Raw genomic sequence first — 15,149 nt, 5'->3', positions numbered from 1 at the left:
CTTCAGCTTTTGGACTCTTGGACCTACATTAGTGATTTGCCAGGGGCTGTTGGGCCTTCAGCCACAGACTAAAGGTTGCACTGTCAGCTTCCCTACTTGAGGTGTTGGGACTCAGTCTGGCTTCCTTGCTCCTCAGCTTGCAGACGGCCTATTGTGGGACTTCATCTTGTGATCGTGCGTCAATACTCCTTAATAAACTCCCCTTCCTATCTATCCTGTTAGTTCTGTCCCTCTAGAGAACTCTGACTAATACACACATATAGGCACACAATAAATTTTGGTTGACTACTAAGTGTAACGGAAAAACAAAAGAATCAAATGACTTTCTGTTAGCCTAACAGAATTTACAATCTGGTTTTGCTTTTAGAGGGCTTGCATTTTTATGCAGCCATTCGCTAGGGAGTCTCAGTAAACTTTATGTCCTCAGGTCTACAGTAAATTTGATTATAATAAAATTAATTTAATTAGCTATGAAATATATGATAAAGGAGACAAAAGAGTTTATTTTCATTTCCATGCCACTTCTTATTAAAATATCTATTCATGTACTTACATTGGATTTTATTTCATTTATTTTAATAATGTATTAATTTGTTTGATTTTTTTTCCAGTATCCAACTGTGAGCTCCTTAGGATTATCTCATTTAGTTTTGTAACTCTAATTCCAAGTACAGTACCTAACATTTAGTAGTAAATATATCATTGAATTGACTTTCCTTCTCTTAATACTGTAATCTAGGATAAGAGTTGTGACATATTAGTAATCCATTAATAGGTGCAGTAGGTTACAAAAATGGCCCCAATTCTTTGCTCTTCTGTGTACACATCTTTTATTTTTCTGTGTACACATCTCATGGCTTGGCCACGTAACATGCTTGGCCAACAGGATTTTGGCAAAAGTGCCACAAGCAGAGGCTTAAAAAGTGCTTGTGTTATTGGGCTGGTTTACTCCTGCACCTTTGCCTTTGCCATGATAGCATGCCTGTGCTGGCCTACTGGAGGATGAGAGACATAGAGCAGGGTATAGCCCACCCCTGGCAAAGCCAGCCAAGATCAAGCTGACAGATGAATGAGTTCAGGCAAGATCAGCAGAGCTGTTTAGTTGACTCCAGATGTGTGAGCAGGACACATTTATTTTTGTATACCATTGAGGTTTGGGGGTTGTTTGTTATGTAACAATATTGTAGCAATAGAGAACTGATATACTACATTTTATTTCTTTTCTAATTGTTGTAATACAGAGTATGACTTAATTTTTGATGTTTGACTGCAGACAGTTCTCAAGCCCCACCACTTCCCTTCCTCTCTGCCCCACATCTGAGCAAACTGATAAGAATGCCTAGGTGCTCCTTCCTTGGCACTAGCACAAAGTTCCAACAGTAAGCCCTAGCCCATGTACAGGAACCCTCACCACAGCCCCACTCCTAACCACAATAAGAATCCCAAAGCCATTCTCCTTTCTTGTTCTCTCTAGTTTTCAGACCAGCTTGGAAGCCCATCTTACTCTCCCCCAAAAAAACGTATTATGTGAGCAATAAACCTTTCAAACCCCTTTGCTGCATGTGTGATGGCATTATTGATTTTGATATCCAAACCCAATTTTGAGAGTGGGGATCTATCCTGCTCCTGTGCGGTGACTATAGCACCATTCTTCGCAAGTGGGGGAAATCACCCATACTGTGCACTGATATTTGGCACAACTAAGTAGAAGTTTTATACATATGTGTTAATTGATATAGGTATAATAAAAAAGTTACCATTATTTATGTCAGGTTTTCCACTTGAATTTTTGAAGGAAACAGAAATGGATATAATTATTAACATTAAAAGATGGATAAAGGGGCCAGGCATGGAGGCTCATGCCTATAATCTCAGCACTTAGGATGCCAAGGTGGGAGAATCACTTGAGCCAGGAGCTGGAGACCAACCTGGGCAACATAGTGAGACCTCATCTCTATAAAAATAAAAATTAAAAAATCAGGCCAGGCGCAGTAGCTCACACCTATAATCTCAGCACTTTGGGAGGCCGAGGCCGGTGGATCACAAGGTCAGGAGTTCGAGACCAGCCTGGCCAACATGGTGAAACCCCGTCTCTACTAAAAATACAAACAATTAGCCAGGCATGGTGGTGGGCACCTGTAATCCTAGCTACTCAGGAGGCTGAGGCAGGAGAATCGCTTGAACCCGGGAGGTGGAGGTTGCAGTGAGCCGAGATTGCACCACTGCACTCCAGCCCAGGCAACAGTGTGAGACTCTGTCTCAAAAAAAAAAATTAAAAAATTAGTTAGCCATGGTGGTGCCCACCTGTGGCCCCAGGAACTTGGGAGGCTGGGGTGACAGAATTGCTTGGGCCCAGGAGGTTGAGACTGCAGTGAAAGCCATGATCATGCCACTGCATTCCAGCCTGGGCCACGGAGCAAGACCCTGTCCAAAAAAATAAAAATAATAAAAAAAAAAGATGTTTACATTCTACCGTGTGATGACATTTATACTCTAGCACTGGGAAAGGCAGACTTTGGACTCCTATTTAGTTTACTATTAATAATAAAGGAAGGTGCTTAAGTGACAGGAAAAAAGCTATTCCAAAAACTACTTAGCACAGATAAGGTCTCTGTAAATGAAGCTGGAGTCTTTTGATTAGTGTGCAATTCAAAGTAGAATTTCCTATTATTTTTTTTTGAGATGGAGTCTCGCTGTCGCCCAGGCTGGAGTGCAGCAGCGCGATCTCGGCTTACTGCAACCTCCGCCTCCCGGGTTCACGCCATTCTCCTATCTCAGCCTCCCGAGTAGCTGGGACTAAAGGTGCCCACCACCATGCCCGGCTAATTTTTTTTTTTTTTTTTGTATTTTTAGTAGAGACGGGGTTTCACCATGTTAGCCAGGATGGTCTCAATCTCCTGACCTCACGATCAGCCCGCCTCGGCCTCCCAAAGTGCTGGGATTACAGGCGTGAGCCACCGCGCCTGGCCCAAAGTAGAATTTCCTCCCCAGAATTTAGAAGATATTTTGCTTTAGCAATTAGGCACTGACGATTAGTAAAGCAAGAAAAGAGGTGTGAAAAATCAGTCATTTTCAATCTAAGGGTCTCTATAAAAAAATTATCATTAACCTCTTTAATATATTTTACTAAATAAAGTGTAAAATCCTTAGAAAAATAGCCAGAAATCAATTGTGAGGACATGTTACAATTAATAATTATGTATACATTTAATAATTATGTATATACCAAACTTGAAGTCCAGAGAGAGTTTATAACAACTAGGATCTCTTAAAGTAATTGCTTGCCTTCATTAAACAACACATTTATCCATCCATATGGTGGTTCCTGCAATGTCTAATGATAACAATGATTATCGTGCCAGGAATATCCCTTACTGAGTGCCAGGTGTCTAGATGTATTTGCTAAGAAAATATGATGTGGAGTGTAATGAATTAATATGGCATAAAACAAACTTGCAAAATACACGAAAATTACATGAATTTGGATCCTGCCTCAGCCTCCCAAGTAGCTGGGAATTTTGGATAGTTTGATTTTATTTGGGCTGAAGTTCATCTATGGGGAAAAAATGGTTTGCAAGCAAATGAATAGTATTACTTCATTTCCTGGGGGCATGTTTGTCCTAACTAAAAGAACTGTCACATCGAGGGATTTTAGTAGTTAACTTTCAACAGGAAAATCAGTGCTGCTAATTACAAATTACTTCTAATTAGTTCACTAAAGCTGTAGGTACAGATGAGACTATATAAAAAGAGTGGGTAAAATAAGAAAAAACAGGGAGGGGGGTACAGGAACACTGGGGAACACTAGTATTAAGAGCCTAGTAGAAGGAGAAGCCAGAAATAAATACTTAAGGATGCAAAAGAAAATCTGGAAAGTATGGTTTTGTGGGCCGGGCATGGTAGCTCACGCCTGTAATCCCAGCACTTTGGGAGGCCGAGATGGGTGGATCACTTGAGGTCAGGAGTTTGAGACCAGCCTGGCCAACATGGTGAAACCCCATCTCTATTAAAAATACAAAAATTAGCTGGGCATGGTGGTGGGCGTCTGTAATCCCAGCTACTTGGGAGGCTGAGGCAGGAGAATCGCTTGAACTCGGGAGGTGGAGGTTGCAGTGAGCCGAGATCACACCACTGCATTCCATCCTGGGCGACATATCAAGACTCTGTCTCAAAACAAACAAACCAAAAAAAAAAAGTATGGTGCGGGGGAGGTATAGTGTATAGTATCGACTATTTTGACCTGTGTGGAGAGGTCAGGCCAGATAAGAGCTAAAAACTGTGCTTGGGTTTATCAACTGGGAAGTCACTGGTGACTCTGTTGAAAGCAGTTTGATGGAGTAATGTGGGTGAAAGAAGGGCAGAGTATTGCTATTTGAGGAGTGAGGATGACAGAATAGGAAGTGGAGATGGTAAGGGTAGATAAGTTGGTGGGTTTTTAGAGACAGTGGCGGAGGTGGGGTGGGGTGGGGATGTCTTGCTGTGTTGCCCAGGCTGGTCTGAAACTCCTGGGTTCAAAAGATACTCCTGCCTCAGTCTCCTGTGTAGCTGGGATTGCAGGTGTGCACTACTGTGCCCTGCTAAGGACAGATTAACTTTTAAGAAGTTTGTCTGTAAAGCAGAAAGTATATATAGAGCAGTAACTCTGTGGGAGAGATATGAACGTATTTTGATTTAGGTCGAATAGAGCTGCCAAGGAGGGAGGAGTTATGGTATTTTAGGTTTTTTCTTCCTTTTTTTTTTTTTTTTTTTTTTGGAGACAGGGTCTCACTCTGTCACCCAGGCTGGAGTGCAGTGGCACGACCTCGGCTCACTGCAGCCTCAACCTCCTGGCCTCAAGTGATCCATCTCAGCCTCCCAAGTAGCTGGGATTACATGTGTCCACTACATGCCTGGCCAATTTTTGTATTTTTTTTTGTCGAAATGGGATTTTGCCATATTGCCTAGGCTGGTCTTGAACTCCTGGGCTCGAGCAGTCCACCTGCCTCCGCCTCCCAAACTGCTGGGATTACAGGTGTGAGCCGCTGTGTCCTGCCTGATATTTTATGTTTTTTTGTAACGGGTTTTTCATTTTATGTGTCACATCACTCCTCTAGCAATGTAAGCTTTGCAAGAATGAAGTCTGTCGGTGTAATAAATGGCAACAAAATTCCCATCTTGGGGATTTATTATTGCCTACAACAGGAAGTCCAGGGGGAGAGAGCTGTGGAGGTGCTTTGGTGAATTAATGATGTTATGCCTGTGGACCAATTCCTGGATTTCCCTCATGGTTGCAAAATGGCTGCTGCAGCTCTAAACACTGTCTCTTTACATGATATCATCTAAAAGTAGGAAACAAGGAGAGGGTGGGGATTCTGCTCTTGTAGCTTTCTTTTTTCCAGTGAGAAAAACCTTTCCTAGAAGCACCCCAACAGACTTCTCTTCAGGTCTTACTGTCCAGGAGTTGGTCACAGACATACCCCTTTGTTTGCCAGGAAGGTGGAAAAGTAACAATCTGTTTTCTTCAGACTATTATAAGAGGTGGACTCTACCAGGAAGAAAGAAGGAGAAGGGAATGGATTATTGCCAATGTCCACATGATTGGCCACAGGTTCTGTGTCTTCCTCTTTGTTAGTGGCTGCTGCAGTGCTGGGTGTTTACAGGTGGGTCTTTGGCAAATAGTTTTATTCTCCAGTGAGGTTTATAGTGCAATAAAACAAATATGTGAGGTAGAGAGGAGAAGTAATGTCCTGGTAAATCAGAATGGGAATGAGAGTGTGGGGAAAAAAATTAAAGTCTTAGGGAAAAGTAAATGGGCAGAAAGAGAGAAAATGACTTCAATTTCAGTGGTTTTAATGAGAAGAATACTCTTAATGTATTAAAAGTTTTAGACCAGGGACTGGCAACTATAGCCTATAGGCTGAATCTGGCCCACTGCTTGTTTTTATAGGATCAGTGAGCTAAGAATAATTTTTATAGTTTTAAATGATTGGAATTTAATATTTGTGATGTGAAAATCATGTGAAATTCAAATTTCAAGGCTCATAATTAAAGTTTTATTGGAATACAGCAATGCTGTGTCCATTTTTGTGGCACAATGGCACAGTTGAGTAGTTGTAACAGAGCCCATGTGGCCTGCGAAGGGCTCAGATATTTACTCTCTGGTCCTTTACAGAAAAGGTTACTGACCCCTGTTCTAGATCATGCCTTTTCTGGCAATCCTTGTCCATTAATATTAGACTCAATTATTAAGCAGAAGAAAACACAGAAGGAAGGAGAAGGAAATATTAGTGGGCTTCTTTTCTTGCTGGTAGTCCCTTCCCTACTTTCTTATTGACTACTCAGATCTAGGAGTCGAGGCACACAGGGCATTAGAGTTACCAGCTTGCCTCCTAGTACCGCAAACGAAAAAATATTAAATCTGTTGTTCATCTCCTTCTAAGTATAGTGTTTCTTTCCAGTGGTATTAAAATGATCCAGGTTCATATAAATTTCAGGAGAAGTAGGAGGGAATTGGTCACTGACTTGAAAACTGTTTAATGGAAATGTGATTTCATGTATGGATCTAGAAATGTATACTGCAAACATAGTTTATTATTCCATTTGAACGTTAAATTCCATTGGTATGTAGCATGTGCTTTATCATGCATGTCAGTTAAAAATGACTTTCCGACCTATATAATCCTCACAATAGGATTTCCCTGTGGAGTTCTGCCATGCCTCTTCACCAGAAGAGTTTTTGAGTATGGGTATAATTACTAGTGATGTTGATTATTTTGGCTACCACATTTAAAAATTGACTAATGGGAAAGGAAAATAGATGTAACAAATCTAATAAAGTTTACCCAGAAATCCAGGGTGAGTAAATGTAGTAGAGGAATTTGGAATAAGAACAGAGAAGGGGAACGCGTGGAGGACCTCAGAAGGACAGGTGAGAGGCGACAAAGGGTCCCTCAAGGATGAATGAGCTCATCACATCCAGGGGTTTTGAGCACTGATTCCTTTAAAGCACCTATCAGGAAGAGCTCCTCCTGAGTGAGCCCCAAGCCCCATTGATGATTCCTTCTTCTTTCCTTGATGTTCCCCTGACCACTCCCTGCAAAGTAAGAGCTCATTTTCTAGTGCCTTTCCAGTGGGGCCAGGTACTTCATCCACAGCAGCTCCCTAAAGTTGCTTGTGGGGTCATGGGCTTTGGGGCTAGTTCTCTGAGGGCTGCAGTGCCTTGAACACAATCTTTCAACACTGTCTGTGTATCCAATAGTTAAGCAGCTAAAATCAGAGGCCTGCAGACTTGCCCTAGCATACTTTATCAGGGCTTCTTCTGCGAGATTATGACTAGTTTTTCTCATCTTCTTTTGCACACCACAATGTTCTAATACATATGTCCTTGTACTCATATTCATGCATGCATATATATGCATGTTTATTATAAGTAAACATATATCCACACGTCATCTTTTTCTTTTTCTGTGGAAGAGTATGGTAAGTTTTTACTGCCTAGAAACCCACATCATAATAATAACCAACTTTAAATATCTCATTCAGATAGGGAGCTTTGTCTTATATTTGATCTCATCTAATCTTTACAACAATGAGGTGGGACAGATGAGTGCCATAGTTATAATTATAACGCACCAATTTTTTCAGCAGGTACTATAGTTATAATTTCCACTGCACAGATTAGAAAACTGAAGGTCAGGGAGATTGAACAACCTTCCCAAGGAAATGCCAGAAAGTGGACTCGAACTGAGGTCTTCTGACCCTAGACACAGTGTCCTTCTACTTGCCTGCACTGCCTTAGGGAGAGTGAATGTCTAATCAATGCATAAAACTTTGCTTCTGGGGCACACTACGTGAATTGAGGCCATGAGAATGCATTTCTTGTAATTAATTTAACGTACTTCCTTCTTCACATATTATGTGAAGCCAAAAACTCAGTTTTTTAGTATTTGCTTTTTTTCTCTGTATTTTTAGAAAGCCATTGCCAAAATGGTTGTGGTCACCAGCATGCTACATCATGATATAGCTCTGTCCCGTGAAGGAATCATAATGCTATGTATGATCTGGAGAGGCAGCACGGTGGAGCCACACCTGGGTTTGAAACCTGGCCCAGCCACTTACTAGCTGTGTGGCCTTGGGGAAGTCCTTTACGCTCTTGGATGAATAAAGGAGTGGTGTCTTACTTTCCTCACTGGGAAATGGGAACGATAGCTACCTTATGGGTTAAGAACCAGCTCTAGGGTGGTGCGTAACATATCATGGCTCTCAATGAACAGCATTGGGCTTCTGACTTCAGGGACCTGAAACTGATTCCCAGGATGCATGATCTTGAAACATTTCTGAGAGTGGCCGGTAAAAACAAGAAGGGGTAGTGTCCTGGTTAGGAGTGCAACAGCCTTTAATACTGGCTCCATGACTATATGACCTTGGGAAGCCATTTAATGGTTCTGTTCCTTAGAGTGGTCATTCATAAGATGAAGATGCTAATGGGACCTGTTTTCAGGTGAGTGGAAAAGCCAATAGTACTGTTCTTAGTTGGAGGATGAATATAAACACTTAACCCAGTGCCTGGCACATGGTGGTTTCCTTATTATTATCTTTATTTTTGTGGGTGCTATGGTTTGGAGATGGTTTGTCCCACCCAAACTCATGTTGAAATTTGATCCCCTTTGCGGTGGTGTGGGGAGGTGGGCCCTAGTGAGAGGTGTGTGAATCCTGGGGATGGATTCCTCAGGAATAGATTAATGCCCTTCCACAAAGGTGAGCGAGTTCTTACTCTCGTGGGATGGATTAGAATGGGATGGGTTGTGAGAAAGAGCCTGGCTCCTTGGTTTCTCTCTTGCTTCCCCTCCCACCATGTGATCTCTTTGCACACACCAGCTCCCCTTTTGCTTTCCACCAAGAGTTGAAGCAGCTTCAGGCCATCACCACATGTGTGTGGATGCCCAAACTTGAACTTTTCAGCCACCACAATCATAAGCCAAATAGACCTCTCTCTCTTTCTTTTAAAATAAACTACCCAGTCTTGGATATTCTGTTACAGCAACACTAAATAAATTAAGACAGTGGAGTTCAGATGTTTCCATTTGTAATTGAGTTTGTTAATCTATTATCACCCAAAGCTTAAATAAGAGGAAACGGGGAAACTGTAGGTTATTGTTGACAATCTTTGAACAAGTAGAGCATACTCTGTTAGGGAAGGGGCACCTAACCCTCTTGTAAATGGAAGGAAAATACAGCAGGACTTAGAGTAAATTTTAATTGCCCTGACTACAAGTAGAATGAGTGATTTCAGCTGCTTTTGTAACAGAGCAAATACTGAGCTCCAAACTCAGGTGGAGTGTGTGTTACTTTATATAGAGATACGATATATCTCACATGTGTATATGCAGGTACAGCTAGGTATATTGTCCAATGTAGAGATGAGACAAATAGAGTTCAAGGGCTGGTTCAGGCCAAACAAGGTCTCAGGATAAAAATATCCAGCATCTACAACCTGTAATGGACACTCGGGAATAATTATTCCATGATAATCAGGGACTGGGTTTTCATGTGATGTTATAATTCTGAGATTTGTTTTTTGCAGAATCATGTCTGTTTACCTTTTTCTTTATTTTTCTTTAATAAATAATTGAGGCTGGTGTTCTTGCAACTAAGGAAATTGATGATAACCTACTCAGTTATCCAGGGGAAAGGTCTATCCTAAATCTTAAGGGGAGGCTTGAGTAAAGGGGAGTGGACCATCCTCAGGCAGTAGTCTAATCCCGAGGATCCCAAGCCCACTACACTAAAAAGGAAACCATGAATGACATTGGCTTTAGAAACCTGCTTCTTATATAAAAATGTCCTTGCAAATTAAAAAGCATGAAAAAAGAGATGTACTGCACTTGTCAACAGGGCTATTTCCACATTGTTATGAACGTATTTATGACTTTTGAGAAGGTGTTTTCTCATGATCTGGCCTATCTTCATACTTTTTTTTGTACAGAATGTAGAATTCTGAATTCACAATAATTTGAATAAATGAGCTGCACAAATTAGGGAGAAAGATTGGTTTGATAGAGCACCTTTTTGTGTTGAGACAACTATATTTTCAACTGTGTAATTGAAAGGTGAACATGCTGGATTTATGCCTTAGGGCCACAAGCTTTTTTACAGTATTATGGTAAAGAATTTTTTTTTCAAAACTTGCTTGTGGTTGTAACCACTATTTGAATCTCTTGCTTGTGGCTGTAACCACTGTTTGAATCTCTGCAAGAATTGGAAGAAAAGTGATTGCAATTTAACTTCCATTTAAAATGCTGTTGCATTGTTTCTAGTAGTGTAATGTGATGACATACCCTGAATGATCCTCCCAGTGAAAATAACTAAAAACTTGGGGTAGAAATTTTAAAATTAAATGAATTATTGAGCTGGCAAGAAAGCAAGAAACGTATAGAGACCAAATATAAAATGAAAGCCTGAGTCCTGAGAGGGAAAGCGAGTGCCAAAGCTAGATTTTACCCTGAAAGTGCCTGATAAAACCTGGGACCTTAAACTTCTGTTGTATCAGCATAATGGGTTGAAGAGATTAAGAAAAAGACATCCTAGGGTGAAAAGCCCAGTAGGAAACCTTTCATAGAAAACTGAGACATCAGGAGTCGCACCCTCAGTGTAGGGTAGCTTAGACATAAACCCTCCTCCCAAAAGGAGAGAACAAGAAATTTGCCTCTCCCGATTTTGGCTGTGGAGTAGAGGAGAACACCTCTAGGGGAATTCATGTGATTTTCTGGTTTGTTTTTACACTTTCCCACAAAATTTAAAAATTTGTGGAAATTTTGAGCCTACAAAAAAGTTGAATGAAAAGTACAATGAGGCCAAGTGCAGCTGCTCCTGCCTGTAATCCTTGTACTTTAGGAGGCCGAAGGAAGAGTATTCTTTGAGGCCAGGCGTTCAAGACCAGTCAGGGCAACACAGACCCCGTCTCTACAAAATATACAAAACACAGACCCCGTGTCTACAAAAAATACAAAAATCTAAGCTGGATGTAGTGGCGCATGTAGAGGCTGAGATGCAAAGATCCCTTGAGTCTGGGAGTTTGAGGCTATAGTGAGCTACGACTGTACCACGACACTCCAGCCTGGATGACAGAGACCCTGTCTCTAAGAAGCAAAGTACTATGAACAGTGCTCTTAGAGTCACTACTTTATCTCATATGCCTATACATATGTGTGTATGTGTCTGTGTATAGATAATGTTTTTTCACTTATTAACATACTTTTATTAAAATCAACTATTTTTCAAAATGAAAAAATTTAGTGATAAGACTAGCATTGTTTTACCTTTTTGCAAATCTCTTTTATGTCTGACAATGGAAGACAGTTGGATTCTCAAGTCTGCTTCTTCATTTGATGCACTGCTTTGGTTAAAGTATATGAAGAAAAACTAGTTTCACATGGACTTGCAGTTGGAGGGAGAACTTCGTGAACCCCCTGAAATGGTCTCAGGTACCCCCAGGAATCCTCAGACCATATTTCGAGAACCACTGCAACAAAACTGTTTCTCGGTTGAAGATTCTCTATAGCTACCAAATTAGTACTAGAATTGGCAATTCCTTCTGTGGCCCAAAACATTTTAACAAGTTGTGATGAGGTAGTGGTAGTAAAGGAAACTTGAACTCTTGTGTTAATTCAATTTTAGGTGACATCAGTTTTTAAATTGAGTTCATACATTTGCCAGCCAAGATTACATATTACAATTTTTTAAAATTTATTTTTCTAAGCTAAGAAGAGAAAGCAACATGTCATATGCATGCAATGTTTACATTTCTATAGTGGTTTTGCATTTTATAAAGCCTCTTTCTGTGCCCCATGTAATGCCATGTAGTCCTTAGAAGCCTGCATTATAGAGGAGAAAAGCTCAGGGTAGACAGGCAACGTGCCCGAGATTGCCATCAGTAGCCAGCCTATGCAACCAGGACTCAGAGCTGGGTGTGATGACTCTGAATCCCACGTTCTTTCCTCATTCAGCTGCCTGCTGCTATCACACCAGAGGAAGACAGGGCTGACTGCTGTTTTCAGGGTCAGCGATCCACATTCCCCCTTGTACAGTTGGAGTCCTCTGACTAAGCGATGCACTCACAGGACAATCCTGTTCTGGCTCTAATGGACACACATTTCACTTTCTTTTTTTGTTTGTTTGTTTGTTTTTTGTTTTTTGAGATGGAGTCTCGCTCTGTCACCCAGGCTGGAGTGCAGTGATGCGATCTTGGCTCACTGCAACCTTCGCCTCCCGGGTTCATGCCATTCTCCTGCCTCAGCCTCCCGAGTAGTTGGGATTACAGGCTCCTGCCACCACGCCTGGCTAATTTTTTTTGTATTTTTAGCAGAGACGGGGTTTCACCGTCTTAGCCAGGATGGTCTCGATCTCCTGACCTCGTGATCCACCTGTCTCGGCTCCCAAAGTGCTGGGATTACAGGCGTGAGCCACTGCGCCCGGCACATTTCACTTTTAAAAGGTGGCTTTTCAGCCTTGGAAGAGGGGACCCTTCATTTACGTTCACTTTTGTTCACATACACAGGAGACAGCATTCGCTCTAGAATCCAACTGGACTTTATTTGACACAGAATACAATGTGGCTGCGAGAACAGCAAATGGCAAAGACAAAGCAGAAAAGACACAGTTCTATCTAATTTATAATTAAGTGACAGAAGGGCAAGTCATTAAATGAATCACAAAACAGTTAAGCTTGATGGAAGAATTCTTTTTCTGGTGTCCATACTTTGGGAATTCCTATTGTCTGTTGTCCAACAGGCACAGCTGTTGTGTTTTGAGCCAGTGAGAGAGACAGTGAAGTGAAAAGCACGGTTACAGGCTCCCCGTGCAACGGTACACACTTCTGAAGTGGCAGACTCTTGGTTAGCTTGACATTCAATGCAGATCCATGCTGTGATTCCTGCAGATGGCACAGTTATTAACCACAACATCCCAAGCCCAGAGGGCTAGCTACTGCATTTCACTTTTTTACTTCAAAGCACTGCTGTTGGTACTTCTTGGGGTATCCACATCCATTGCCACTGCCATTTTGGACCAGCTTTTTTTGTTTGTCTGTTTGAAAGCCAGTTATAAGCACAGGACACTTTACCCTTCAATACTTCAGCAGCCATCTCCTAGATGAAGGACATCTCTTGTATAATTACAATATCCTTATCTCACCTAAGAAAAGTAATGATAATTCCATAATGCCATTTAATATACAGTTTGCATTCTAATTTTCTTAAGTGACTCCCAAATATCTTTTATGACTTAAAAAAATCCAGAAATCAATGAAGGGCATGCCTTGCATTGGGCTGTTCATCTCTGTAGTTTCTTTTGATTTCTATCTTATAAATTAAGGTGTACGTACATGTGTGTGTGTGTATGACTTTTTTGAAGAATCCAGGCTCTATAGAATGTCCTAGATTCTGTCCTATAGTCTTGATTTGGTCAATTATTTCTCATGATTAGATTCAAGTTAAATATTTTTATCAATGATACTTCATAGTTGATGTTGCTTCTTGTGGTTTTGTAGTTCCAAATTCATGCTACTATAGTTGAGCCAGTGAGAAATGCAGTGGAAGTGGAAAGCATGACAAGAAAAAAAAAAAAAAACAATCACAGAGAGAACTGGTAGTCCTCCCAGGCAATCGAAGTAAAAGAAAATCCTTTCTGAAGGACACCAACTTTAACCAGTTCTCAAAAAATCCTGCAGATAACATTCTAAAGAACATGAACTCCCCTCCCAACACACAAAGACAAAGTATACTAGGCAAAAGGCACACCAAGTAAGAGCCAGAGGAAATAGCAGACAACAACATCACACTTTCACAGACTTGCAGATACTAGAAATATCAGAAGTAAACTATACAATAAATATACTTAATATGCTTTAAGAAATAAAACAGACATTTGAAAATAATGACAAGAAATAAAAAATGTTTAAAAAATAAGTATATTTGGGCTGGGCACGGTGGCTCACACCTGTAATCCTAGCACTTTGGAAGGCCGAGGTGGGCAGATCACCTAAAGTCAGGAGTTTGAGAACAGCCTGGCCAACATGGTGAAACCCCATCTCTACTAAAAGTACAAAAATTAGCCGGGTGTGGTGGCAGGTGCCTCTAATCTCAGCTACTAGGGAGGCTGAGGCAGGAGAATCAATTGAACCCAGGAGGCAGAGGTTGCAGTGAGCCGAGATCATGCCATTGCACTCCAGCCTGGGTGACAAGAGCAAAACTCTGTCTCAAAAAAAAAAAAAAAAAAAAAAGTATATTTGAACTGGAACTTCTGTAAATGGAAATATAATTTAAATTAAAATCAATGTATGAATTAAACAGCAGACTGGACACAAAGAGATAACTAGTGAAGTATAAGATAAATCTAAAGAAATCATATAAAATATAGTACAGAGAAATGAGATTTCAAAATATAATAAGAGAAAAAGAAAGAGTTTTTGAAAAAGTCCATACACCTAATTGGAGCTCTGGAAAAACACAGTAGAAAGAATGGAAAAGAGACAATATTCCAAGGAAAAATGGCTGAGAGTTTTTCAGAATTGCTGAAAGATGATAAGCCAAATCACAAGCAGATAAATACAAATAAAATAATTCCTTGGCACATTAGAGTGGAAGTTCAGAACAACAAGGTCAAAGAGAGGATCTATCTTAAAAGTAGCCAAAGATAACAAATCACCACAAAGGAATAAAAATTAGAGGTACAGCAGTGTTTCCAACAGCATTAATGGAAGCCAGAATATCATTTTCAACGTGTCAAAGAAAAAAAAAGATCAATCCCAAATCCCACGATTAGTAAAAAGATCGTTTAAGAATAAGAGTAAAATAAAAGACATTTAAGACAAACAAAACTGAGTATAGATCCTCACAAAAGAAAATTTCGAAGGATATACTTGAGGCTCACAGAAAATGAATCCAAATTGAAAGTCTGAAATTCAAGAAGAAATGGTGAGCAAAGACATTTATAAATAAATACACTTCAACACTGGCCATATAAAACAATGGTGATGACAATAATAATAGTGTTTAATTTGTAGAATTAAAAAGCAAAATAGAACTAACACACTCAACTAAAACAACAAATAAAGTGGCATGGGAAGCAATTTGATTAGTCTTATAATCCCCTTGTATTTTTCAGAAGCAGGT

General features: G+C 40.4%; 1 protein-coding gene and 1 pseudogene across 2 annotated transcripts in view; both read right to left on the bottom strand.

Annotated features, from left to right (window-relative positions):
- THBS4 (thrombospondin 4) overlaps window positions 1-15,149 on the bottom strand; it is a 91,956-nt gene that overhangs the window by 50,641 nt on the left and 26,166 nt on the right. The window lies entirely within an intron of this gene.
- RBX1P2 (RBX1 pseudogene 2) lies at window positions 11,757-13,044 on the bottom strand (annotated as a pseudogene).

This window comes from Homo sapiens, chromosome 5 (genome assembly GCF_000001405.40).
Source record: "Homo sapiens chromosome 5, GRCh38.p14 Primary Assembly".
In the NCBI taxonomy this organism is placed as follows: domain Eukaryota; kingdom Metazoa; phylum Chordata; class Mammalia; order Primates; family Hominidae; genus Homo; species Homo sapiens.
This window is presented reverse-complemented; position numbering and strand designations above follow the sequence as displayed.